This window comes from Homo sapiens, chromosome 10 (genome assembly GCF_000001405.40).
Source record: "Homo sapiens chromosome 10, GRCh38.p14 Primary Assembly".
Lineage (NCBI taxonomy): Eukaryota > Metazoa > Chordata > Mammalia > Primates > Hominidae > Homo > Homo sapiens.
The window spans coordinates 3,797,440-3,823,717 of NC_000010.11; the positions used below are offsets into that span (position 1 = coordinate 3,797,440).

General features: G+C 42.6%; 1 long non-coding RNA gene across 1 annotated transcript, besides 15 other annotated features; it reads left to right on the plus strand.

Annotated features, from left to right (window-relative positions):
* Positions 5,982–6,293: an enhancer, noted in NCBI's record as "KLF6-IV DHS fragment used in reporter constructs". NCBI's record gives its function as "activates the minP and KLF6 promoters by reporter assays in K562 erythroleukemia cells {active_cell/tissue: K562}" and the evidence as "EXISTENCE:reporter gene assay evidence [ECO:0000049][PMID:23985037]".
* Positions 6,061–6,228: a transcriptional cis regulatory region, noted in NCBI's record as "candidate enhancer chr10.143 targeted for multiplex CRISPR interference". NCBI's record gives its function as "positively regulates KLF6 gene expression with high confidence in K562 cells {active_cell/tissue: K562}" and the evidence as "EXISTENCE:mutant phenotype evidence [ECO:0000015][PMID:30612741]".
* Positions 6,390–6,701: an enhancer, noted in NCBI's record as "KLF6-III DHS fragment used in reporter constructs". NCBI's record gives its function as "activates the KLF6 promoter by reporter assays in K562 erythroleukemia cells {active_cell/tissue: K562}" and the evidence as "EXISTENCE:reporter gene assay evidence [ECO:0000049][PMID:23985037]".
* Positions 8,230–8,731: an enhancer, noted in NCBI's record as "H3K27ac-H3K4me1 hESC enhancer chr10:3847861-3848362 (GRCh37/hg19 assembly coordinates)". NCBI's record gives its function as "activates a minimal SCP1, AML or CMV promoter by ChIP-STARR-seq in naive H9 embryonic stem cells {active_cell/tissue: H9 hESC(naive)}" and the evidence as "EXISTENCE:reporter gene assay evidence [ECO:0000049][PMID:30033119]".
* Positions 8,230–8,747: a biological region, named in NCBI's record as "H3K27ac-H3K4me1 hESC enhancer GRCh37_chr10:3847861-3848362". NCBI's record gives its function as "regulatory_interactions: KLF6".
* Positions 8,480–8,747: a transcriptional cis regulatory region, noted in NCBI's record as "candidate enhancer chr10.145 targeted for multiplex CRISPR interference". NCBI's record gives its function as "positively regulates KLF6 gene expression with high confidence in K562 cells {active_cell/tissue: K562}" and the evidence as "EXISTENCE:mutant phenotype evidence [ECO:0000015][PMID:30612741]".
* Positions 8,732–9,233: an enhancer, noted in NCBI's record as "H3K27ac-H3K4me1 hESC enhancer chr10:3848363-3848864 (GRCh37/hg19 assembly coordinates)". NCBI's record gives its function as "activates a minimal SCP1, AML or CMV promoter by ChIP-STARR-seq in naive H9 embryonic stem cells {active_cell/tissue: H9 hESC(naive)}" and the evidence as "EXISTENCE:reporter gene assay evidence [ECO:0000049][PMID:30033119]".
* Positions 8,732–9,432: a biological region, named in NCBI's record as "H3K27ac-H3K4me1 hESC enhancer GRCh37_chr10:3848363-3848864".
* Positions 9,138–9,432: a silencer, noted in NCBI's record as "tiled region #2914; HepG2 Repressive DNase matched - State 7:EnhWF". NCBI's record gives its function as "represses a minimal TATA promoter and a strong SV40 promoter by Sharpr-MPRA in HepG2 cells {active_cell/tissue: HepG2}" and the evidence as "EXISTENCE:reporter gene assay evidence [ECO:0000049][PMID:27701403]".
* LOC105376364 (uncharacterized) lies at positions 9,279–11,078 on the plus strand. Its single transcript, XR_930580.3, has 2 exons — positions 9,279–9,398; positions 10,237–11,078. It is a non-coding gene; the product is annotated as an uncharacterized LOC105376364 (long non-coding RNA).
* Positions 11,956–12,281: an enhancer, noted in NCBI's record as "KLF6-II DHS fragment used in reporter constructs". NCBI's record gives its function as "activates the KLF6 promoter by reporter assays in K562 erythroleukemia cells {active_cell/tissue: K562}" and the evidence as "EXISTENCE:reporter gene assay evidence [ECO:0000049][PMID:23985037]".
* Positions 11,956–14,232: an enhancer, noted in NCBI's record as "VISTA enhancer hs1837". NCBI's record gives its function as "enhancer in: limb[3/11]" and the evidence as "EXISTENCE:transgenic organism evidence [ECO:0001131][PMID:17130149]".
* Positions 12,409–13,608: an enhancer, noted in NCBI's record as "BRD4-independent group 4 enhancer chr10:3852040-3853239 (GRCh37/hg19 assembly coordinates)". NCBI's record gives its function as "activates an origin of replication core promoter dependent on BRD2, P300/CBP, MED14 and CDK7 cofactors, and independent of BRD4, by STARR-seq in HCT116 cells {active_cell/tissue: HCT116}" and the evidence as "EXISTENCE:reporter gene assay evidence [ECO:0000049][PMID:35650434]".
* Positions 12,676–13,021: a transcriptional cis regulatory region, noted in NCBI's record as "candidate enhancer chr10.146 targeted for multiplex CRISPR interference". NCBI's record gives its function as "positively regulates KLF6 gene expression with high confidence in K562 erythroleukemia cells {active_cell/tissue: K562}" and the evidence as "EXISTENCE:mutant phenotype evidence [ECO:0000015][PMID:30612741]".
* Positions 13,896–14,145: an enhancer, noted in NCBI's record as "active region_2914". NCBI's record gives its function as "activates an Ori minimal core promoter by ATAC-STARR-seq in GM12878 lymphoblastoid cells {active_cell/tissue: GM12878}" and the evidence as "EXISTENCE:reporter gene assay evidence [ECO:0000049][PMID:35858748]".
* Positions 14,446–14,605: an enhancer, noted in NCBI's record as "active region_2915". NCBI's record gives its function as "activates an Ori minimal core promoter by ATAC-STARR-seq in GM12878 lymphoblastoid cells {active_cell/tissue: GM12878}" and the evidence as "EXISTENCE:reporter gene assay evidence [ECO:0000049][PMID:35858748]".

The following is a 26,278-nucleotide window of genomic DNA, read 5'->3' on the forward strand; positions in this document are numbered from 1 at the left end:
ATAGTCCTGGTTCTTTAACTTAAACCAGAGACCCTGAATGCCATCAACAAATAAGTTCAAGAACTCCAAAATGATCGAGTTAAACATGTGTTCATGGTTATGCTTTTATCTTAGCATATAAAATAGATAGATATCTATTTTATTTCCATTTTAATATACTGGGTTTTACAAAGCCTGCTAAGCCTAAGACATTTTAAAACAGAGGGGCGAGAGAAAGAATGAGAGAAAGAAACGATGAAATGAAAAGGCAAAGTTCTAACCTTTCTTAGTATTTCAAGAGGAACCCAAAATGAGATTCCTTTCACCAGAAGTCCCACCAGAAGTACAAATTCTGACAAATTTGTACATGGGCCCAATTTTTGTGGTGCTTCTGTTGAAAACCGAAATCCCCTCCTGAATAAAAGGGATATCCCACTTAGACAATTCAGAAGATCTTATCTTCTTCCATGCAACTTTCTCATTTCCATTAGCACATCCAGATGAGTCAGAAATCTCTATCTGCCATCTGGTAGCACCTTTCCACCAGTCAATACACTGCTCTTCTTCTGCAAAGACTTCAAAGAGTTTAAATAAATGCATATTTTGTTTTGAGCACTTACTATGTGTTGGCCATTGTCTGTGTCTTCAGGAAGCAGCAGTGATCAAAACAAAGTCCCTCCTCACACCCAGCTCATGTTCTGGTGGAGGGAAAAATAAGGAGCAGGTAAACACGTAATGTCTCAGGTGAAGACAATTCTATGAAGGGGATAGGATGGGAAATGGTGGGCAAGGGGACTTAGTGAATATTCAGGATGGTTATGGAGGGCCTCCCTGATGAGGTGACATTTGTCTAGAAAGAAGAGTGAATATCCAGTTTTCTCAGCACCATTTATTGAAGAGACTGCACTTTCCCCAATGAGTGTTCTTGACAGTTTTGTAAAAACTCAGTTAGCTGTAGCTACTTGGATTAATTTCTGGATTCTCTGTTTTCTTCCATTGGTCTGTGTGTCTGTTTTTATGCCGGTATCATGCTGATTTGATTACTATAGCTTTGTAGTCTATTCTGAAGTCTGGTAGTGTGATGCCTCCAGCTTTGTGTTCTTTTGTTCACTTGTTTGTTTATGTTCCTCAAGATGGTTTTGGTTATATGGCATCTTTCATGTTTCCATACAGATTTTAGAATTTTTTTCCTACTTCTGTGAAGAATGTCATTGGTATTTTTTGATAGGGAGCACACTGAACCTGATTGCTTGAGTAGTATGGGTATTTTAACAATATTAATTCTTCTAATCCATGAGCATGAGATGTCTTTCCATTTGTTTGTATTCTCTTCAGTTTCTTTCAGCAGTGTTTTATAAATCTCCTTATAGAGGACTTTCACCTCCTTGGTTAAATTTATTCATAGGTATTTTTTTGGTAGCAATTGCAAATGATACTGCCTTTTAAATTTCTTTCTCAGCTAGTCTATTGTTCCTATATAGAAATGCTGCAGATTTTTGTGTATTAATTTTGTATCTTGCAACATTATTTGTCAGTTATAACGGTTTTATTTTTGTGACATCTTTAGGTTTTTCTCTATGTAAGATTACATCGTCTGCAAACAGAAACAATTTAACTTTCTCCTTTCCAATTTGAATGTGCTTTACTAATTTCTCTTGCCTGATTGCTGTGGTTAGGACTTCCAGGACTATGGTCAATAAGAGTGGTGAGAGTGGGTATCCTTATCGTTTCCCAGCTCTTAGAGGAAAAGCTTTTATCTCTTCCTCATTCAGTATGATGTTAGCTGTGGGTCTGACATATATGGCTTTTCTTATGTTGAGGTACTTTCCTTCAATTAGTTTATTGAGAGTTTTTATTATGAAGAGGTGTCGGAGAATGAAACTATATCCCCACCTCTCACCCTGTACAAAAATCAGCTCAAAGTGAATCAAAGATCTAAATGTAAGACCCAAAACTATAAAACTAATAGAAGAAAACAGAGGAAATGCTTGAATACATTGGTCTAGGGAAAGATCTTATAAATTTTTGTGATCGTAAGATTTTTATGAATCGCAAAAGCACAGACAACAAAAGCAAAAATAAACAACTGGGATTACACCAAACCACAAAGCTTCCACACAGCAAAGAACACAACCAACAGAGTGAAAAGACAACCTAAAGAAAGTGAGAAAATAATTGCAATCTATTCATCTGACAGGGGCGTAATATCCAGCATATACAAGGAACTCAACAGCAAAAGAATAAGCAATCCAGTTAAAAAATGAGCAATTGACCTGAACAGACATTTCTCAAAGGAAAACACATACATGAAAAAGAAACATATGAAAAAATGCTCATCATCACTAATAATCAGGAAAAGGTGAATCAAAACCACAGTGAGGTATCATCTCACCCTGGTTAGTGTGGCTGTTATCAAAAAGACAAAAATCACAAATTCTGGCTAGGATGCAGAGAAAAGGGAACTCTTGTACACTGTTGATGAGAATGTAAACTAGTACAGCCACTGTGGAGAACAGTACGAAGGATCTTTAGAAACACACATAGAAATATGACCCAATACTGGGCATTTATCTAAAGGAAAGAAAATCAATATGTCCAAGAGACACCTGCATCTTCCATGTTTATTGCAGCAATATTCATAACAGCCAAGATACGGAATCAACCGGGGTATCTGACAACAGATGAGTGGGTAAAGAAAATGTAGTACATACGCACAAAGGAATATTATGTAGCCATAAGAAAGAATTAAATCCTGTCATTCATGGCAGCATGGATGGAACTAGAGGACATTATGTTAAGTGAAATAAGCCAGAAACAGAAAGTTAAACACCTCATAGTCTCATTCATATGTGGAAGCTAAATAAAAGTTGGTCTCATTGAAGTAAGAAGAAGAAAAGAGGATGCCAGAAGCTGAGAAGGGATGGGGAGGGGAAGGACAAGGAAGGTTTGTTAAAAGATACGAAATTACAGCTAGATAAGCTTTAGTGTTTTGTACTAGATGACTATAGTTGATCACATTATATAGTTATTATTGTATAATAACTATACATATATAGTTAACTATATAAGTACATATTACATAGCTTCAAATAGCTAGGAGGACTTGAAACTATACAGCTATATATTCTACAGTTTCAAATAGCTAGGAGGAGGATACTGAATATTCTCAACACAAATACATGATAAAGGTTTGAGATGATGGATATGCGAACTATCCTGATACTCTCACTTTACATCGTATGTATGAATACATCACTATGTGCCCCACAAATATGTGCAATTATTATGTGTCGATCAGATTTTTTTTGAGTTAAAAATGAAAAGTGAGGTGATGGCTGAAAGTGAGGTGTAGCGTTATCTGCCAGGAAGCATGGGCAGGATGTAGTTATCAAAGTGATAACCAGTTTCTCTTTTAGTCTTAATTCTAAAAGATATTTAGGGATTTTATATCCATTGAGGTATTTCTTTATATACACATTGCAATTTTTTTATTAGATAACATTTGTTTGTAGGTAACCTCAAATATAAACTGCAGGGAGGGCATGAGGACCTACGTAGAACTTCTTGGAAGAAATAAGTTTTTTAAAACACAGCATTTGTGCGTGCATGGGAAGGGCCTTCTATTCCAGTGCCTTGGAAGAGTACTTGACTCTGACGAGGACAGCTGGTCAGCCACTGCTCAGAGCAGTTTCTACCACTTCAAAAGCCCCTTCAGCTCTCGTATATTTTACAATCCTACGGCCACTACAACATCCCCGTTTTACAGTTTTGTTGATCAGATAAAGAGCCTGGAACACCCCAAATCCTGCTGGAAGCTCTCCTAGAAACAGAATTCCAGAGAGGCCAGCACCTCCTCCTGGAATGTCCCCCAGTATTTGTCTCTGTGGTGCCAAAGCTCTGGTGTGTGGACCAAACACAAGCTAGCCTAGTGCAGGTTTTGTGGAAGTGTATGCTCAGGTCTTTTCTGATTCACTCGGTGGTCCTCCCTTGTCTCATTGTGGCTGGACACAAACAAGGAAATCTTCACAGTTTGGAGTCCAGTGGTTCTCACAAAAGCCCAGAACAGCCTGATGTCCACATGGTCATTTCCAAATCTCAAAGCGACATCTGAGTTGCAAAGTTGAAACTGATGGGGAATCGTGTGTCTCCTTCCCAGCTCAAGGGTCCCTTGACACGTTTCAAGGGCTCTGGGGGAAAGATGGCCTGAGATGAGAGTTACAGGCATCATGCCCCAGAAATAGAATTGATAGCAAAGGGCTTGAGGAGTTTTTGCCACTCCCTATTGACTGTTATAGAACTTGGAAGCTCGCCTGTGGGGCCTGGGATCCATCACCTCTCATAACAGGCATTAAACTGATGTCATTATTCAATGTCATTCGGTGCCATCAAAACAGGACCTGCTTTTGAAGGCCAGCCTGGACTTGAGGCTGATCTTTGCCATTTGACCAGCCGCCCGAGGGCAGACATGTTCCCCAACTCTTAATTTCTTCTAGAGACGTGCCGACCTGGCAGGATTGGTTTAGGATTAAGGGAAATGATGCACGCTCAGCACATCATAGAAGCTCTAGTAAATGTAAATGCTCTTTTCTGTTGTTTTTTCACATCATGGTGACAAATGGCTCCTCTGGAAGGTCCTGCAGATGTGAAACTGGGTGGTGGTGTCACCTGCTGACAGCGGTGGGTTTTTCTTCCCTTGGGTGCCATGAGGGTGAAGAGCTGGGGCGAATACTTGGAGGACGGGCACTTGGTTTGGTTCTGTTTTCTACATGTCCATCTCTACTGGGTTATCCATCCACCGGGTCACATATTGTCCTTGAGTTGCCCACAAGTCCTGGGGATCTACCAAAATGTCCCTCTCAACAGCGGTGACTTCCTGGTCTTGGGTGGGGGACAGTGAGCTGGATTGTGTCCCCGAAGTTCCGCTCAACCCCTCCTTTTGACTCGGCACTTGTTCTTCCCACCTGGTCTCAAACATAGACTATCTTCACAGACTTCTCGGCTTGGTTCCCCCTCCCCTAGAAAACGTCTTGGTTGGGAGTGGAGACACATACTCACACAGACCCACAACAGACACAACACACACAAACACACAGAGACACACACAGACACATACACACCCTGACACACACAGAGGCACACATATACATGTTCACACACATACACAGACACACACAAACTTAGAGACACACAGACACATACACACACTAACACATACACAGAGAGGCACACATACACACGTTCATACACATACATAGGCACGACACACACAACAGACACAACACACACATCATACACAGACTTACACAGAGACACACAGACACATACACACACTGACACATACACACGGGCACACACATATATATTCACACACATACACAGACACAACACACACAAAAGACACAACACACACAAACTTACCCACACAGAGACACACAGACACATACACACACTAACACATACACACAGAGGCACACATACACATGTTCGCACATATACATAGACACACACAGACACACACATTCACACACAGAGACACACACAAACACTAATATATACAGACACACAGAGACACACACACACAGACACAAACACACACAGACACAGACACACAGGCACAAACACAAGCACACTCGTTCATACCCAAGAGGGTCTCGTGGCTACTGTGGCCACTAGTTCATGAGATGCTGGAGTTTGTCAGCTGGCTGAAGGCAAATTATACCCTGCATGAGTTATCAGGTTGATAATTGCCATTACTTTTAACGCAAAAACCTCAAATACTTTTGCGCCAACCTAAAAGCTTTAGATTTATTTTCAAATAAAGTATTGTTGTGATTAACAGATTAATAAAAACATGCCAGGTCTTAGTTTTAATGATTAACTTTGGGGACTGAGTAGACAGTAAACATTTGGCTAGAATTTCCTGTCCTCAGATACCGTGCGATTGAAAGAAAATCCGCTTGGTGATGTGCTATTTATAACACTATTTTAAAAGGTTATCTTGTTCAAATGCAGCATGTGCTTAGGAGTTAAATCCCAGAACTGCCTGACCAAGAAAAAAAAAAAAGGTGCTTTAAAGTAGCATGTTGTCATAGTAGTGTGAAAATGTGAAGGTGCGACTGGCCGTATGTGAAATGAACGCATTCCCACAGTGACTCCAGCCTCTGGTGAGAAATCCCGAGTCACTCTCATGAGTCGAGAAGCCCTCACCAGATGGCAGGGCAGAGAGTTGCTTCCTCAGTGCTTTCAGGTAAAATCTTACATGACAGAGCACAAGAAAACACGTTACTCTAAAAAGCAAATTGACGGAATCTGTCATTAAAAAAAAACTAAAATTATACAAGACTCTTCATGTCTCAAGGAAAATAATGGAGAAGAAATGTCAGGCGCTGTGGTTTTTCTGAATAGATTTGAGCACATATGCACCACAAGCCATTTTTTAGGAAAGTCAACTTTTCACACATTTACAGAAATAATTTGCTTCAGATCTGCAAAGAAGGCTTGAAGCCACATGTGTTTTCTAAACTGCCAATCCACGATAATGTCTGGAGTATCTTTTTTTTTTTTTTAAATACCTAAATTAGATCTATGCAGAGTGTGGAAACAGCAGATAACTAGCAATACAGAGTTAGTAGAGGAAAAAAAAGGAACTTTCTTGAAGCGTCTCCCCTCCCCCAGACAAAGTAAAATGACTGTATTGTGCTGTTATCGACAGAGTTGCACGCAGCAAATGCTCGAATCATTTCAGAGATAATGAGACATTATGTTTCTTAGTTCACTATTTAAAAATATAAAACCAACAATTACAGATGGAAACTATTCATTCTGAGATTTATGGAGGGAAAAGCAGAAAAACAAAAAAAAAGTCCATGTCTTTCTAATGGCTGCGTATACTGCAGATAATTGAGCCACAGAAAGGGAGTTGTGTTTACAGAGAGAAGCCAGCGGGCAAGGAAGATGTGCTGTGGGTTTGGGCCTGGTTCTGACACAGTCTCAGCCTCAGGGAGGCCTCTGTGGCTTCTGTGCGTAGAGGCCACAGCCATCACCTCCCTGGGTCTCTGATCTTTCGTGGTCTTGCAATAGTTTCCAGCAGTGGGAGACCCCGTTACAAAATAAACGGTACCTCAGGCAGAGACTGATCTCACTAGGGAAGCCCATGATTGCAAGAAATGTCACACGTCTAACTACGGAGACAGGAAAGCCTTGCTATTTGAATCATTGAAGTCTGGGTGGGTGTACTAGTGAATATCTCATCATAGAATTTAAATGATCTTTCTCTATGTATTTTCAGCACTGTTCAGCAGCACAGGCATTGTTCTGGAGTAGCCCGTGAACTGTAAACAGATTCTCAGTATGCAGCAGGCAAATCGCCTTGGGTGGATACCTGAAACTTTAAGTGTTTTAAGCACTTGTCCTGAGATACATTTTTTAGATTATCAATTTGCACTGTGTAGATGTCAAAGCTTAATAGACAAAGACAAACTTCAGCCCAGCCCTGGTCATAATGAACAAAATTTCTGAAGTTAATAAAATCCTTAAAAAGTACATTATAATGTGTTTAAAAAAATCCATTTTTAGTTAATAGCAGTAATGCTACTATTCAGTGTTATAAACGGTTTTACAACCAGATTCAAACACTAGAATCTATGCCCTTCAAAAACATTAAACATGTATTTACTTTCATTGAAAAATACTCATTTGATTTTATTATATTTGTGAAAACATATTTTGCAGTATTTAAATATTGGCGTATTAACTGATAAATTATCTCCTGGTTCCTAGAAAACGTTCATTAAGATCTCAAAGGCTTTATCTGTATTTTACATGTTTCTCTGAAGAAAATGTATTATTTAGAAAACAAACAGTGTTGCCATGTGATAGGTTTTTTTTCAAATGAGACAACACAACGGAATAAAATATATGATCTGTAGCTGCTGAGGCTGAGTCAGTTCCTGTTTCAATAACAAGAGTGTCATCTGCTAAACTCTAACCAGCACAATTTGTCACCGTGGATGTGGCTTTATTTGTACATGTTGCCAGAAAGTTCTTAGGGAAAATTCACTCATAGTTTTCATACCAAAAAAGAAACTTTTGGTGAGCAGTTCTGGCTCCGGCTGTGGCCTTGTTTATTATTTATGCTGTAACCAATGCTTCCCTAATGGAAGGGTAATGCTTGCCTAGCTACATAAAATAATGCCTCAGTTTTCTCTGGGGAATTAATAATTTGCTCATGTCACCCCAAAGCTCTCACACGCTTGTGCGGTAGTTTTCCAAACAGTGAGCAGTGCGCCCCAATGGCATGGCAGAGAGAATTCCCAAGCTGAGAATCAGAAGACCTGCAGTTTTGTCTGGCTTTGCTAAGTGACTTTTGGATCTTGGACTTCTGTTTTCACATCTACAGAATTATGCCATTGAATAACATGTTCTCTATGCTTTCTTCTAGCGAAAAACTCTCTTAATTCTTTTTCTAGAATCATGAAATTGAGTTGGCAGTCTTTGCTTGGTCAGAGCCTGATGTTTCCTGAATTTAGAACTTGGTTCCCCCGAGACCCTCTGGACTAATTTAAAATGATTCATCCGCGTGAGTCATTGCCCTGCTGCCTTCAGGACAAGATGTCTATCTATTGTCTTGCTGCTACCATTTTTTACAAATAACTCCAGCTCAGCAGCTGCAGACTCGAGACCCTGCACCTGGTGACATCGGCCGGAAGACATCAGCTGGCTCTCTGCAGACACACCTGGAGGGAGGGTTTGGGAGGAAGGGGGCTGGGGCCTCCGGTCTGACCACCTCTGAAACACCATCCCAGGCTGTCTCTGAGGTTCATGTGGTTTGGGTCAGATTCTCAGTAGAATGAGAGGCATTTCAGGGACCTTCCAAGTCCTGAAAGAAGCCACTGGGCAAATAATTGGGTGTCACATTCCTTTTAGAGCCAGAAGGAAACAACATCCTATCAGAAGGAAGGGGAATTTCCTGCCATGAAAAGGAATCTTAGAGCAAAACCGAGTCATGGTTTTGCCCGAATTTTAAAATCCTGTTGCTTATATGGAAGCATATGGGTCCTAACAATTTCTCTTTCAAAATCCTCATAGTGAATGACATTATGGCCATGTTTCTCCCTCAAGTGTGTCTTAAAAATGCATCTAGAGTCTAACTATAAAGGCATCATTCAGTTGTAATAATTAACATCTTATTTGCATTCAGTACAATTCTAAGTTCCACATAAGTGTCTAATCTGGTGATGGGCGTTGTATGATTGCTAAGTAAATATTTGCCGTTGGTTATAAAGAATGAATAAGATGGGCACGGCCCTGTTTTCCTGTTGTCGTAGCCCAGGGTTGCCTTCTCTATAAACTATGTGTGACTGCAGCTGAATCAGTGAAGCCATCACCACCGGCCTCATGCATCACTGTCCTGTGGACCTGTGAGTAGTTCCAACACTCCCATGTGGTCAGCCTGCTTTACTTGAAACTCAGTTACATAAACCTGTTGAAGATAATGCTGCTATGTGATTGCTGACAACTTTCCAAATGCCCTGTTTGCTGCTCAAGCTGATGTTCCCAAGGAGAGAGTTGCAAGTATTGGAGGAAGCACCACCCTCAGGGAATGAGCTTGCAATCTGCTTCTCTGTGGCCCTGGGTCAGTCCCAATGTGAGCATGCCAAAGAGGACCCAGGCTGACGTTGGGGTTTCCATCCGTTCAGAATGACTTGATCCTTCCCTACCAATTAGAACTAATTAGGGTCTCTGGGTGCCATGAAGATCACGAGAAATGCAGAGTCTACTCCTGAATTGCTTTGTTTCATCAAATGTCTGTGGCTAGATATCAACTAGGGTTGCCATTTCCTGCTTCAGTTCAAATCAGACCGATAATTGCGTTCTGCAGTTGTCTCCAGCTAGCTGGTCCTCCCTTCCAGGCCCTCTCTCTGCCAGTCTGCTCTGTGCTTCAGGAGAATAATCCTCCTGCCATAGATTGATGGATGCCTGCACACTGCTTTCACTTCCCATTTTAAGACCTCATCCCTCCAGGCAGCCTCCCTTGGTTTGGAATCTTGGCTGTGAATTGCCAAACCTCAAGCCCCCTGCAGACTTACTTAGCTCTGCGTCCCTATAACATCCCATAGCTCCAGCCGTATCCGTCTGCATCCCAGCCCGCAGTGCGGTCAAGAGCTGTAAAGTCACTTCTCTCCTTCTGGCTGGTTGTTTATGTGGACTGACTGTCCTGCTGGCTGCCTTTGCTGATGAGAGTGTTGCCTTCCACAGAGATCAGGCCACCTGGGAGAGCCACTTCTGTCCACCCATCCCTGAGGGGATGCTTCTCCGTCCCTTCTGCATGCCTCCTGCACTCGGTGGCTGTGCTCTGGGAGAGTTACCCTGCGATCTACACTTTCGGCTGCACCACCCTCTGCAGTGAAGAGTGTCTAAGGTTTCCCTACTGCACAGAACACTCGAGATCCGTGGTGTGACAGGAAGAGCTTTCCAGCTGCGTGGCCTTGGGCCGTCTTACTCTCTGGGCCTCAGTTTCCTCATTGGTAGCATGGAGCACTGAAAGCTACGAACAGGAGCTGTGAGGGTGAATGGAGGATTCATGCCAGAGCCTGGTGGGATGCCCCTGCAGAGCAGATGCTCAGGAAACCCTCCTGCCAGCTCCTGGGGAGCACGGGAGGCGCTGGCTCCTTAGTTCTCTATGGAAGGACGGTTCTGCACCAGATATTATTATTAGAGTCTCTTATTTGGAATTCTGGACTTGTGTGCTCGACAGGGGCCTCAAGTCCCCAGTGTCGCTCAATAGTGACAAACCCAAATAAAAGATCCTGGCAAATGATTAGCAGCCTTTCCTGCTGCTGTGCTCATAAACGCTGTTGCTATTTTTGGGCCAGCATTGTTCAACCTGGATTTAGTTCTCCTTTGCTGTCTATTTTGGCTCTGACCTGCTCTGAAAGGGCAGGCTCCACGCCGGGTGTCACGCCCAATGGCTTCTCCACGGTCTTTGTCCAAATGGACTCAGTGAGGATATCACCAGCGGAAAAGTAAAAGATGAGAGGACTTGAAAAAAATATCTTCCATTCAGAATCTTTTTAAAAATATACTTTCAAACAAAGAGGTATTATAGAAAGCATTTTGCTTTTTCGTTTAAAGCTAAAGAAAATCAGAGTCACCTAGAAATGTGAGTTACTGGAGGAAGAGAGGAATGGTTAAGATCATTCTACAGTGTCTATATGTACTTATATATCCCAGTGTCTGTGTGTACATGCGTGTATGTCTGTGTATGTATGTGTGTCTGTGTGTGTCTCTCCATGTGTCTGCCTATATATCTGCATGTGTATACGTGTGTATGTATATCTGTGTATGTACATGTGTATATATGTGTATGTCCGTGTGTGTCTCTGTGTGTCTCTGTGTGCATGTATGTGTATATGTGTGTCTGTATGTATACATGTATGTCTGTGAGTCTCTTTGTGTGTCTGCCTGCATATCTGCGTGTGTGTGTGTATGCTCTGTGTGCGTTTGTATATGTCTGTGTGTCTGTGTATACACATGTGTGTCTGTGAGTCTCTCTGTAGGCGTCTCTCTGTGTGTCTGCCTGCATATCTGCATGTGTGTATGTGTGTATGGTCTGTGTGTGTTTGTATGTGTGTCTTTGTGTCTATGTGTATTCATGTGTTTCTGTGGGTCTCTCTGTGTGTCTGCTGCATATGTGCATGTATGCATGTGTGTATGGTCTGTGTGTGTTTGTATGTGTGTCTGTGTGTCTATGTGTACGCATGTGTGTCTGTGAGTCTCTCTGTGTGTCTGCCTGCATATCTACATGTGTGTATGTGTGTATGGTCTGTGTGTGTTTGTATGTGTATCTGTCTGTGTCTGTGTGTAATTCTTTATCTCCTCCGTTTTCTGAGCAGGCTGGTCCTTTGAATCCCAGGAGATAATTTTTCCTTATACTTACTAGAGGAGTCTGTCAATACAGTAGAAGCACAATGTAAATGGGGGATTAACACCTTGAGATAATTTGAATCCACTGTCATTCACCCTTTCTGAAATGCACAAGCTTGCAGGCACCTACCCTCCTGCTACAGGACAGAAAAAAACACGGTGGTTTTATTTCCATTTCTTATCACACGGTGTCCACTGCCTGAGCTGCACAGGGAGGCATTTTGTCATTTCACTGTAGGGGTCTCCTGTGGCCCCGAATCTCATGTGTTTGTGTCCCTAGGAGCTGCAGCCCCAACCATGTCATGAAGAGGGGTCGGCACGGGGGCTTCTGGCTGTGGCACACACACGTGTTAACCTATAAGGCTCACTTCCTGCCCACAAGGGTCAGAGTGTTGTTTTTTTTTTTTTGAGACGGAGTCTCCCTCTGTCGCCCAGGCTGGAGTGCAGTGGCGCGATCTGGGATCACTGCAAGCTCCGCCTGCCGGGTTCACGCCATTCTCCTGCCTCAGCCTCCTGAGTAGCTGGGACTACAGGAATCTGCCACCACACTCGGCTAATTTTTTGTATTTTTAGTAGCGACGGGGTTTCACCGTGTTAGCCAGGATGGTCTCAATCTCCTGACCTTGTGATCCACCCGCCTCGGCCTCCCAAAGTGCTGGGATTACAGGCGTGAGCCACTGCGCCCTGCTGAGAGTTTTTTATTGATCATTCAGTGATTCTGAAGGGAAGACAGTTCTACTCTCACTGCCAGTGACAGCACAGCCCAGGAGAGCAAGGGCAGGCTCCTCTCCAGGTGTGGCTGCTCTCCATGGCCTGGGTCATAGTCTGGAGATGACTGAAGAGTTAGTCTTGGGGCTGTTGCTTGTGAGAACTGGAGAGGTGTGTGTCATTATCTGAATCGGCCAGGCCCACGCCAGGGTGAACTGGGCTTACAGGAAATGCAGTCACAGGTGAGACAACCTTTGGCACCAGCTCCCAACTTTCAGTTCAGAGAACGGTGAGTTCCCGGTACAGGGAGTGGAAGCTGATGTCATTGAAAAGATATTGCCTTGCTTTGAAATCAGCAAGCGTGGTCAAAGTTCTCCAGTATATACACACAGAGGAAAAATGTGGCTCTGAATCACCATGGGCAGCTTTTTGATAAACAGATATTCAAAAAAAAAAAAAAAAAAAAACAACAGAAAAAACAGCCCATGTGTGGTTTTTCTGAGAATGCTACACGGCTTTCATATGTGCATTTTGACCCTAATTTCACTTACAACTTTCTCATAAGATACTGTTAGGAGTGAAAAGCCACAATTAGCTCTAGGCCAAGAGTGAATAATTTCAACAGCCTCTCTAAGATGGTTTATATTTTTGGAGCCATATATGGGTGAAAGTAACGATTTCCACAGGAGGACAAACAAAAGGAGATTTTTGCACACAACAGGGAAAAGAAAAAGGTTTAAACTTTCACATGTGAAAAAGTTCAAATTCCCAAGCCTTGCTGAACACAACCCCAGGTAGTTTTAAAATTTGCTTTCAATAAAAATTTATTTGAAATGAAATGCTTTACTAACTTTCATGGCTAAATCAGGAAACACCGTTTTCACTAATTAATATTAAACAGTTGGCGAGCACAGCACTTCTGGATGTGTTCCTTCTTCATAACTAAAAATGAGTGAAATTGTAATTGAATTCTGATGATAATCTTAATAGCATCATTCTCTACGTTGACTCCTTAAAGCAATTTTATATTTGCAAATTGTCTTTGCCTTCCTTTTAGCTTAGTTATATAGCTTGCTTTGCTCAAAGAGTAAAATTAAAGTCTTAACTAATGTCAAATGGTTTTGCTTTTCCTGTGTAAACATAAATATGTTAAGAAATGTATAGTAAGTTATCTTATTTTAATAGAGACTCATCAGTGCTAGTTATTTAGTGCCTCTCAATAGTATTTCTGGCAAACTGCACATGGCCTTCCTCATAGAATGAGGAGTGGGCATTGACATGAATTTCTAAATTGTGGCATTTCCTGGCATGATGTCAGTTGGCTTAATCATCTCAACTGTCAGCTCACACCCTTGACAGCCAGCTCGGGAGCTGGGGAGAGTCCAAATTTGGTGTTCTGAAGGAGCTCACAGGGGTCTCTGGCACGTAATGATCACCTTGAAAGTCATCGATTTCAAAAAGAACATTCCACTGTGGAAGAGCAGCCAAGAGAAGCAAACCTCAGGCACACACAGTCTGTAACAGAAACCGAAACTCCTAGCAGGAAAATACCATGACCTGCAGTGACAGGGCCAGACCATTTCAGTGAACTCAGCATGCAGAACTGTGTGGGGAAGGGCCCCATGAGAGAGTTACTATGATTATTATTAAGAGGTGAAAAACATTCTCTAAAATGGTGCGGTGTCAGAGTTAGTTTCCAGAAGGCTTGCTAACCTGCAGGGGCTGGGGTAGAAAGTCATTCTATAAAAGGCATAGGTGCAGCTGTGACTTCGAACGTTTCCCTGTGGATGAGATGCCCACACATTTCAGGACACATGTACTATGACGTTTTGGGTGCAGAGAAACGCTGCACCAATCACTCAGCTCCTGTCTCTCTGCCATCAATTTTGTCAAATGTCAAAAATCATCTATTCAGAGATGCCTATGTAGAACAGAGGAGGGGACTCTGAGTATTTAGGAATCAGTTTCCTAACTCAGCTCATCACCCTCTCACTCAGGACAACTTCCGCTTGCCTAGTGGGGAGAAGCTTCCAAGTGCAGTGTGGGCACTGGAGGGAATGCCTCGGCCACAGTTCCCGTGGAAATCTCGGGGATTTAAGTCTTTAACCAGCCCCCCAAAGACCACAACCCTCCCTCCACCATCCACTGACAGCTTTCTTGGCTCCCTAAGCTGTTCTGCACTGAGTCCTCAACTTATCTTCTCTGCTGACATTTCCCCTAGTTGTGGTGGTCATGCCCGCCAGGGAGCTGCTCCCTCTGAAGGTGATCCTGCCCCATCTCCGGGCCTCACGGGCATGGCTGCTCCAAAGACCGCGACCAATTTCCTCCTCTAAATCACGTGGGATGCATCCAAGGGCTCCTTGGGGCTCAGCCCTTGTTAAAAGAGTGCAGCTTACAGACCACACACTTCTTTGTAAAAAAAAAAAAAAAAAAGAAAGAAGAAAGAAAGAAAGAAACTCTCGTTGTATTCTTCAAATTCTGGAAGGAGGCAGGACTTAAAAAAAAATTACTGGTAATTCAAGTTCTTCTCCTTAATGTAGAAATAAACCGTGCTGAAATTCCGGTCACAAAGGCCATTGGCTTGGGCCTTCTTAGTCAATATGTATGGCAGACTTTTGAGAGCTTCATTCACCTGTTTATGATAATAATTAGAAGATAGTACAGGTTAGGCATCTCAAATCCAAAACTATGAAATAAAAAATGCTCCAAAATCTGAAACACTTTGAGTGCCGACATGATGCTCAAAAGAAATGCTCATTGGAGCATTTCGGGCTTTGGATTTTCAGATTTGGAATGCTCAAATGGTACGTTTATGATGTAAATATTCCCAAATCCAAAAAAATCTGAAATCTGAAACACTTGGGTGCCAAGCATTTTGGATAAGCAATACTCAACCTATATACACCTATCAATTTGTTCCCAGCTGGAGAGGAAAGAAAAAGTCAACCACACTGATATATCAGCAAATATGTACCAAGCATTTCTGAGTAAGTACAAGTTGTAGAAAGTCAGGGATACCAAGAAAGGACATGAACAATTCTGAAGCAACTTCAAAACGCAGATAACTGATTTTTTTTAAGTAGTAAATACATAAGTATTTACAATGTGCAAAGTATCTTGATAAATTCTATTAATACAAATGAAGGTACACTGACTCCTCTTCTAAGGGAAATTGCAGATGAAGGTAACAGCATAACCCTAGATCCCAAAGGACACTGGGTTCTGGGTTCTGCTTGTTAACACTCAGGTTCTGTTGTGTTGTCACATGGCCGTTGTGTAGGTCACTGTCAGGAGAGTTTTCAACAGAGGCTTCTAGATCAGTGGTTTTGTGTCCAGTTTATTTACTCATGCCTCATACCTTCATTATTGACACCGAAGGTTGGAGAGAAATGAGGTTGAATCACTGCTGTTGAAATTTAAATATCTTCCTGTCTAATCTGTTATTATTTCAGATTTGTATGTGAGGGAAACCCACATGTAGAGAAGTTAGGAAATCTTCCCCCAAATCGCACAGCTGGTAAATTCCAAAATCAGAATTCAAGCTTCAGGGAGTTGAATCCCAAGGCCAGGGACCTGGTTTCCATAGCTCGTCATCTCTGTCTCTGATGTTTTCCTCCCCTCCAGTCCCTGCCGGGACACCTGGGGTGCTCACGGGGCATCTAGCTGTCTATTTTCACAGTCACACACATCTTTAATTTATCAAGGTAGAATGGTGTCTATCATACTGTTTTAATTCTTCTAAGAATGTAGCCTGTATATTATCTATATCAATGAATTAATATCTATTTCTTTAATTGTAAGGTCTACATAATTGTATGAAAACAATGTATGAATGCATACCCGGTTTATAGTGACTATCCCCATTGCTCATGGGGAAGGCTGGGATTAGAAATGCTGGAAGACAGAACACATACGTTTTTAAGGCTTTCTGTATATTTTCTCAAATTTGCTTTAAAAGTGACATCAGTTTGCATTCACATCAACTGCATTTTGGAGTAGACACAGGGCGTTGATTTTACAAATCTGCCGGCATTTGAGGAGTAAGCGTTTGTTCTAAGGCTTAAGCCACTACAAGAACGCACACCACAATGATCAAGCCACACAAAGTCCTCTGGTGACTCATGAGGTTGGAGAGAAATTGCTGCTGTTGAAATTAAAATATGTTCCTCTCAAATCTGTTATTATTTCTGATTTATATGTGAGGGAAACCAACACTTAGAGAAGTTAGGAAATCTTCCCCAAATCACACAGCTGGTAAAGTCCAAAAATCAGAATTCAAGCTCAAGGGAGCTGACTCCCAGGGCCAGCGGCCTGGTTTCCACAGCCCGTTGTCTCTGTCGCTGATGGTTTCCTCCCCTCCCCTCCAGCCCTGCCAGGACATATGGGGCACTCCCCGAAGGGGAGCCTTGGTCACCTGCTTTTTCTTAAATGACACAAGCTCTGGCCACTTGACTTTGTCTCGTTGGCCAGATTCACTGAAGCACTTAAAACACAATGACTAGATTCATTTTTCATGCACAGAACATTCGAGGATCCTGAATGCAAACACTCTTGGATGATCCAGAAGTAGTTCAATCCACAGGGTAAGTATAGTCTGTTTATTTATTATTTATTTATTTATTTATTTATTTATTTATTTTTGAGACGGAGTCTCGCTGTGTTGCCCAGGCTGGAGTGCAGCAGAGCTATCTCGGCTCACTGCAACCTCCGCCTCCCGGATTGAAGTGATTCTCCTGCCTCAGCCTCCCAAGTAGCTAGCTGGGATTATAGGCATCTGCCACCATGCCTGGATAATTTTTGTATTTTTAGTAGAGATGGGGTTTCGCCATGTTGGCCAGGCTGGTCTCAAACTTCTGACCTCAAGAAATCCACCAGCCTCCACCTCCCAAAGTGCTGAGATTACAGGTGTGAGCCACTGCGCCCGGCCCCTAGGATATTTTTTGATGTGGTTTTTGGTGTAGAATGTTTTAGCAGACTAGGATGTGTTTTGAGAAGTCCCTTGTAGGACTTTTCTATTGCTGCAAGATAGTCACGCGTGCAACGAGTGAATGGAGGTGTTTCTTTTGCTTTCTTTTTTTGGCTGTGCAAATACACAGAGCAAAAAAAAAAGCTATTTGAAAAGAATCTACTAGTCTGTTTTTTGTTTTTTTGTTTGTTGTTGTTGTTTGTTGTTGGTTTTTTTTTGAGAAGGAGTCTATTTCTGTCACCCAGGCTGGAGTGTAGTGGCGTGATCTCGACTCCCTGAAACCAACTACTCTGTTTTTTGAATTCTTGCTTCTTCACGTCAGTGCAGTGCGAGATGCATGGTGAAAGGCACACCTGTGTAAGTGACATGGCATCTGCTCCTACACACTCAGACAGTTTAAAGGACTTAGTGCTATTCCACCTTCATCAGGGTGCAACCCAAAACTAACAGAGGGACAAGAAGGAAAACCCAACCACACAACAGATCACCTTGACAGGTGATCTCCAAGGTGATCCAGAAGTAGTTCAATCCATGGGCTATCGATTTTATTTTTTAGAGCATCATCATCCGAGGTGATGCTCTAAGACATGTGGGTGTGGAATTAAAGCTGGGGTTATAGCAGCATGTTCTAGGAATAGCACTGAATCTGTTACCTTTGCTTTTTTTCTTCCATATTTCCACATTTCCTTTAAAAGGAATCCCAAGAAGCTGGATGTTATCTGTACCCTTTTCCCACTGGCATCTGGAAGAACCTAAGTTAAGGAAAGATGTTTGCTGCACTCTCTTGTTTTTTTATGTTTATGATGCTAACCCATGCTAGTCACTATTGCTTTGAGCTATGGTCTGAGTGTCTACGTCCCCTTCAAAATTCTTATGTTGAAATCCTAACCCCCAAGGTGATCGTATTAGGAGGTGGGGCCTTTGGAAGGTGAGGAGGACTTGAGGGTGGAGTGCTCATGAATGGAATAAGTGCCCTCCTAAAACATTGGTCGGGGGACATCCTCACCCTTTCCACCATATAAGGACACAGTGAGAAGGAGCCATCTATGAGCCAGAAATTCAGCCCTCACCACACAGAACCTGCCAGTGTCTTCATCGTGGACTCCTTAGCCTCTGGAACTGGGATAAATAAATTTCTGCTGCCTATCAGCTACCTGGTTTATGATATTTTGTTATAGCAGACCAAAGACACCATATGACACATTATCCCTTAAATTTAGTAACTTAAGGCAACAATTCTATTTTTTCTTATGATTTGGTGGGTCAGAACCATGGGAAAGACTCAAGTGCACGGTTCTTAGCTGGGGTCTGTCATGCAATTGCAGTGAGGTATCAGCCAGGGCGGTTGTCATCTGAAGGCTGGACTGTGGCTCAGACACAGGCTGGGCATCTGATGCAGCCTGTTGGCTGGAGCTCAGCTGGGGCTGTTGACTGGAGCACCTACAGCAACCTCCCAGAAAGGTGCTCTCAAGGTCATTGGACTTATTACATGCTGCTAGCTTTTGCCCGAGCAAACATCTCAAGCATATCATGTATGGGATAAGGGCTGCACAGCTTTTTCTGACCTCCTATTGGAAGACCTACAGTGTCACATCCAACATAATCTGTTGGTTGAAGCAGACACACATTCAGCCAGGGTCAAAGCAAAAAAAAAAAAAAAAAAAAAAAACATAGATCCCTGCGTCCCAGTGGGAGAATTATCAAATAATTTGGTACTTTTTAAGTAGTTGTGAAGAATATTATGTTATGCACTTTCCCAATTAAACTACATGTTTTTTTAAGTGACCAACTTGACATTAGTGTGTGGAGATGTGTTCTTATGTCAACATGCCCGTAGAAATTCTGCTCACAGAATAATGAGGCATTGATATCACTTCATTGATTACAAAGAACTCGAAAACTATGTTATCTCTATGATTCTCACTCCAACTCAGGGTTGTACAGATTATTCTGTTTCCCATGAACAGACACTGAAGCTCAAAAAGTGCAATGACCTGCCTAGTGCTCCACGATGCCTGGTCTGTCTTGTCTATGAACCAACTTCCACTTCTACTCAGCGGAATTCCTTGCACACTTTTGACTTAAGCTTTCGTCAAATGCTTGCTGTACAGAAACTGCCTGTAAGCACTGCATACCGGCACTGAAATAATCAGAGCCTGTTGTTATGAGCCATGGAAATTGTCCACTTGGGGCTGTTGGACTGGCAGGTGCTGCATCTTGATATGACACATGTGTCAGGTTGGGGGGTCAGTATTTGCTAATTACAATTCAGCTTTATGTAGGAGGCTTTGACGGTAAACATAAATTACTTTTCTCATGGATTAGCTTTAGAGAACATTTCAGTGACAGCCCTAGAGTCACTTTTCTACTGGGAGATGAACACTGAAGTAGAATTTACTAGCCTCACTCCTTTTTACACATACATCCACAAGTATTTTATTCCTGAAGGCTCAGTTACTTGTCCAGTTTTCGACCTGAGTTTCTGGGGGTTTTCTTTAAAGCTTTTTTTTTTTTAATAAAAATTATTATCTTTTATTGTGGTAACATACACCTAACACAAAATGTACTGTCTTATCGCCTTTAAGTGTACAGTTCAGGGGTATTTAATACATCCGCAGTGTTGTGTAACCACCGACACCCTCCCTCTGCATAACTCTTTTCACCTTGTAAAACTGAAATTCCATACCCATTAAACAGTAACTCCCCATTTCCTCTCCCCTGACAACCACCATCCTGCTTTCTGTCTCTATGACTTGACCATTCTAGGTACCTCATATAAGCAGAATCATACAGCGTTTGTCTTTTTGTGATGGGTTTATTTTACTTAGTGGAATGTTCCCAAGATTCATCCATATTATTGCATATGTCAGAATTTCTTGTTTTCATGACTAAATAATATTCCACTGTGTATATATACCACATGTTGTTTATCCATTCATCTCTTGAAGGGCGTTTGGCTTGCTTCTACCTCTCTGCTATTGCGAACAATTCTGCTGTAGACTTATGTGCACCAATATCTCTTCAAGACCCTACTTTCGATTTTTTTGGATGTACACCCAGAAGTGGAATTGCTGCATCATATGATAAATCTATTTTTAATTTTTTGAGGAAACTCCATGCTGTTTTCTACAGTGGCTCTACTGTTGTTACATTTCCACCAACAGTGCACAGAGATCCAGCTTCAGCCCATCCCTCTATAGACTTGAGTTTTAAGGAAAGATTGAAACATAAGGCAGCTGTTCGCCTGTCCTCTATAGACTTGAGTTTTAAGGAAAGATTGAAACATAAGGCAGCTGTTAGCCAGTTCCTTGTCTTTCCTGACATCTTCTTTGCTGTTGTTGGCTTTTTGTTTTGTTTTGTTTATTGAGATGGAGTCTCATTCTGTCACCCAAGCTGGAGTGCAGTGGCATGATCTCTGGTCACTGCAACCTCTGACTCCCGGGTTCAAGCGATTCTCTTATATATTTATGGGTTACATGAGAAAATTTGATATAGGCATGTGAAGAGGACTAATCACATCAGGGGAAATGGGGTGGATGGACTTCTGACACATAAAGAGTGTTCATTCAGGCTGGCCACGGTGGCTCACGCCTGTAATCCTAGCACTTTGGTAGGCCGAGGCAGGCGGATTGCCTGAGCTCAAGAGTTCGAGACCTATCTAGCCAACATGGTGAAACTCCATCTCTACTAAAATACAAAAAACTAGCCGGGCACGGCAGCATGCTCCCATAGTCCCAGCTACTCGGGAGGCTGAGGCAGGAGAATTGCTTGAACCTGGGAGGTGGAGGTTGCAGTGAGCCGAGATCATGCCACTGCACTCCAGCTTGGGCGACAGAGCAAGACTCGGTCTCAAAAAAAAAAAAAAAGAAGTGTTCATTCATTTCTTCTTCTTCTTTTTTTTTTTTTTTCTGTATTAAGCACAGTCCCATTCCCACTCTAAGGTTTCTAATCATTAGATCCTCAAGCTGTCCAGGCCACTGTGACGTTGTTTCTCTTTCTGAAGATCTCCCTTCCACCACAAGACAAGGAGGAGAAACAGCCGGCAGTGTGATTCCACCGTAATCCATGAAGACCTTGATGCTGAAAAATACACTCAGGGATTCCATCATATGCCATCCCCATGTGCCTGTGGTCGCAAAGTTTCTAGACATAGAAAGTCATAGCTCCCCACAGAAATTTGGGGACATCTGTAAACATACTGTAAAATAGCAGATTCCAGCCAGGCACAGTGGCTCATGCCTGTAATCCCAGCACTTTGGGAGACCAAGGCTGGCTGGTCACCTGAGGTCAGAAGTTCGAGACCAGCCTGGCCAACATGGTAAAACCCCGTCTCTAGTAAAAGTACAAAAATTAGCCAGACATGGTGGCGCATGCCTGTAATCCCAGCTACTCAGGAGGCTGAGGCAGGAGAATTGCTTGAATCTAGAGGGTGGAGGTTGCAGTGAGCCAAGATCGCACCACTGCCCTCCAGCCTGGGTGATGGAGGGAGACTCCATCTCAAAAAATAAAAACAACAGACTCCACTGCTCAGCAAGAGAATGAAGATTAATGGAAATTACAATGGTTAGGGAAATAGCCATCAACCATCAATTCGGATCACTCTTTCATGCTCTCAGGGGTATACCCCATCTCATTCCAAATAGCCCCGCCTAGGAACATTCTAGAATACTGGCACATCCTTATCTCACGTCATGGCTTCCTAACATCTTCACAGGGAGCGCCTATGCTCCTTTTGGAGTGAAGCGGGCTTTCCAGCACATTTATCTCCAGGATAAACGTAATCTAGAGCTCATTACGACCCCTTAGCAATATTGACTGCATATTTTGAAGCTAAATTTGTGGAGTATCATAGGGCCTGGCTGGGCTGGTTATCTCTGGCAGGCCTACCGCATGGAGGCCTGATGGAAGGGTTCAAAAAAAGATTTCAATCAGACTTAAGGCAAACACTTCAATTCACTCCATACTGGTGAACACTCTGCCCTCACGCTCATTGGAAGGCTGCTTGGATCTATCACTATTACTTCCTAATTGACTGGAATCTATTGAACTTGCAGCTTTGTTGACAGTGCACTAAGAAGTACTATTAATCACAACTACCTCCATTGGTGAACGCCATTTATCTCTGTCATCGTGCGTGCTTAAGAAACATCTTTGCACTGAGATGATCCCAGGTCCAATCACAATGATCATTATCTGATGTCACCTTCAAAACGTGGCTCAGCCAGAGCAAAATCTGTAAGGACAACACCATGGTGACCAGTGGTCCAACCCACTATGGGGGAAGTAGAGAGTTGGACAAAAATGGTTTTGAGCTTTCAGAGGTGACAGGAGTCAAGTAAGTGAGTTTATGATGTAAGCACACTTGAATGCTCCTTTAATCTTTAGAGCGGGGGCCACTGATCTTTGTTAATTTCCACAAAATCTCTGCAAAGCCGCGTTCTTCCTGGATTACTCAGAAAAGCCTTCCAGATGGTGACGGCCGGGCATCAGAGGCCACACCTTCAACTGGAGCTCCAACCCCACAGCGTCAGCACCTTTCTGTCGGGGAGAGAGTGTGACCGTGATGAGAACAACAGTGCTTCCACACGGTCTTCCCTTGCAGAAGGAGAACGTCAGACAGAGTTCTAGTTATACCTCGACATAGCTTTTCAGCTGAAAAATTCCATTTTACCAGCTGAGCATGTGGCTTGGTCTGGGATATTTGGTCGCAAAACAAAACAAAACAAAACCTGCTCAAATCGTGTTAAAACAAGCAAACAAACTCGCTGAGAAGTTTATATTGGAAGATGCTGAATGTAAGGGCAGAAAGCAATGCTATCCCCAGAAGAGATCAGCGCCTGAGCCTGAGAAGTCATCCAGAGGGAGGCAGGGCCCTTCCTCAGATCCCACGGGGTCTGGGATCCTGCTGTCCTCTGCCTCCATGGGCAAAGACCACGATTTCTGTGACATGCCCCATCCAGGATCCCAGCTAGTGCTGATGAGGAAGGTCCCCTCGTGGAATAGTTACTAGTAAATTCATTGAGAGGAGCCCTGGCTTTATTCCATCCAGGTGTGTGCATGTGTGTACACGCATGCCTATGTGTATGTGTACATAAACACACATATGCGTACACTGGGCTTCCAGATTAGAATGTATTTTATTGCTGACGTTTATTTGACCATGATGCTCTGCCACTGTAATCAGGTTATTTTCTTGAGTGAGGCTCCAGTCTCTCCACGCAAATGGAAATAAAAGCAGCACCTTTCCTGCTGTGAGCCCACAAACCTCCTTCCACCCTCCGTCAGGCCGTGCAGAAGGCCGCCATCATTATTTCCTTCCTGTGAGTTAGAGGTCATTTCATTCCACATGTATTTCTAAAAAACTAAAAGGGTATGTTTTATATGTTTTAATCTTAGCTTTTCTTTGAGCTGAATAAGAAGGGGGCAGAGTTGTATGTGATCTGAAACTTCAGTGTTTCAGCAAATATTATATGGTTAAGATTTAGATGGTTATTTCTGATGTTGAATGCCATATTTGTAATATTTCATCATTTGCAAAATGATTGCTAGATGATTACCCGTTTAGTAAGTTAAACCGGAAGTTCCCCCAGTGTCTACTATGTTAAATAGTTTTGTTTTCTTAAGTCATGAATGGAATTTCAATGTAATTAAAATGTTCAGTATCTACTTGATAAAACAGCAATATCTGGTGGGAAAATGATCCAATGCATACCAGTGACTCTTGAATCTCGGTCTCACGCTGAGCAGAAAAAGCCAGACACCAAAGACAGGTGGGGTCCGATTGCACTGCGTGAACAGCTAGAGCAGGCCAAACTCATCTTTCGAGATAGAAACCCCATCAGGGCATGCTGGAGGCAGAGCGGGAAGGGAGTCTGCACGCAGAGGCTCTGTGTTAGCAGAAGTGTTGGTTGCGGATTTGGGGATGGCCATTCAGGGGTAGGGGTATGCATTTCTTAAAATTCATCACACTCGCTTCGGGAGGCTGTGGATCGCCTGAGGTCAGGAGTTCGAGACCAGCCTGACCAACATGGTGAAACCCTGTGTCTACTAAAAATACAAAATTAGCCCGGCGTGGTGGCAGACGCCTGTAATCCCAGCTACTTGGCAGGCTGAGGCCCGAGAATCACTTGAACCCGAGAGGAGGAGGTTGCAGTGAGCCAGATGGCACCACTGCACACGGGAGGTTGCAGTGAGCCAGATGGCACCACTGCACTGCACTCGTCTGGGTGACAGAGGGAGACTCTGTCCAAAAAAAAAAAAAAAAAAAAAAAAAAGAAGAAGAAGAAGAAAAGAAAAAGAAAATGCACATTTGTAAGATCCATTCTGATGCAGTCAGAGGTGGGGGGATATCATGGGAAGTCATCGGTCAGTGCCTTCAGGGGTCTTGTGGCCACCTCTGTCTCCTCTCTGTGTAGACGAGTGCCCGGTAGATTATGTTTGTGCTCGCTGACTTAATCCATGACTGAGTACAAACTTCACTTACTTTGAAACCTTCTAGTTTCTCAGCAAAATGAAAAAGTTACTTTTTCTCCTTGTGTGCTAGGCACATAAATTCTAATAACCTTTATCTCTGGAAAGACAGATTTCCAGTATTGGCCATTTCAATTTATATTATTCATAGATGTTGGCCCTTAGCATTCCCACTTACAATAACCACAAATCCAGACTCCATGCCTGCAAACTTATCTTATGGCGGAAAAGATCTTTTTAAGATAAAGACCAGATAACCAGACAACCGTAACAAAGCGAATTCCAAGCTAAGGAATTGATGATTCTGGTTAACTGTGGACAGAGCCCAGCGGGAAGCTGACTTGAGTTCATGTTCTCCATAGATCTGGGGTCAACACGAGAATCCCTTTCCCATGAAATGGTATAATAATTCCCTTTGAAATGTATTCTCTTAAATGCCACTGTGGGGAAATTTATTAAAAATTTATAGTATATATTAAATCAATAAGATGAAGATATTTTTTCTCATGGCTATTCTTTAGGTAGACCTCAACGTGACATTCAAATCCTGTGCTAGATGGATGTGAATGTAATGGTTTTGTAAGTAGCTTCCTTCTTGACGGGTCACAAGGCAGTGTCCATGCACACCCCAAGTCAGGAGACACGCAGTCAGAGGTAGATTTAGTAACAGGACAGGAGAATGCGTGCTGACATGCAGATTACCTACTGCAGGGCCTTCCATTTCAAAGCATGATATAACCCCATATATTTAGGAAGATGACCAGCTCTGTGATTTTGTGATGCCTTCAGTATCTTTTGTATTTTATACAAATTGGCGTTATCTTTCATGAATTGCATGGAGAGTATCCAAGGGTGATATCTCTTCCTGAAGAATACCTGGACATCATTTAATTGTCAGCTTCAGAGACCGGCCTCTCTGACTCTCTCTTTCTGGGATTTGCAGTCAGAGAAGGTGGAGATGTAAACTGCTAAAATTACATGAACATATATGGGCCTCTTTTCCTCCCCACCCCACCCCCCCAAAAAAAAGCCATCTTTCTCTGAACACATCAAGTTATCACCACTTTTGATGTGAAGGGATCTGAACCCCTTCTGTGTATATCCACACTCCTGGTATGACATGATTGGAATTACTTCTTCATCTCCCATTTGACTAGCAGTTCTGTTTATTGATCTACATTTGGCCAATTAAAATAAACAGAAAGTTTGGTGTGAATTAAAAATTACAAG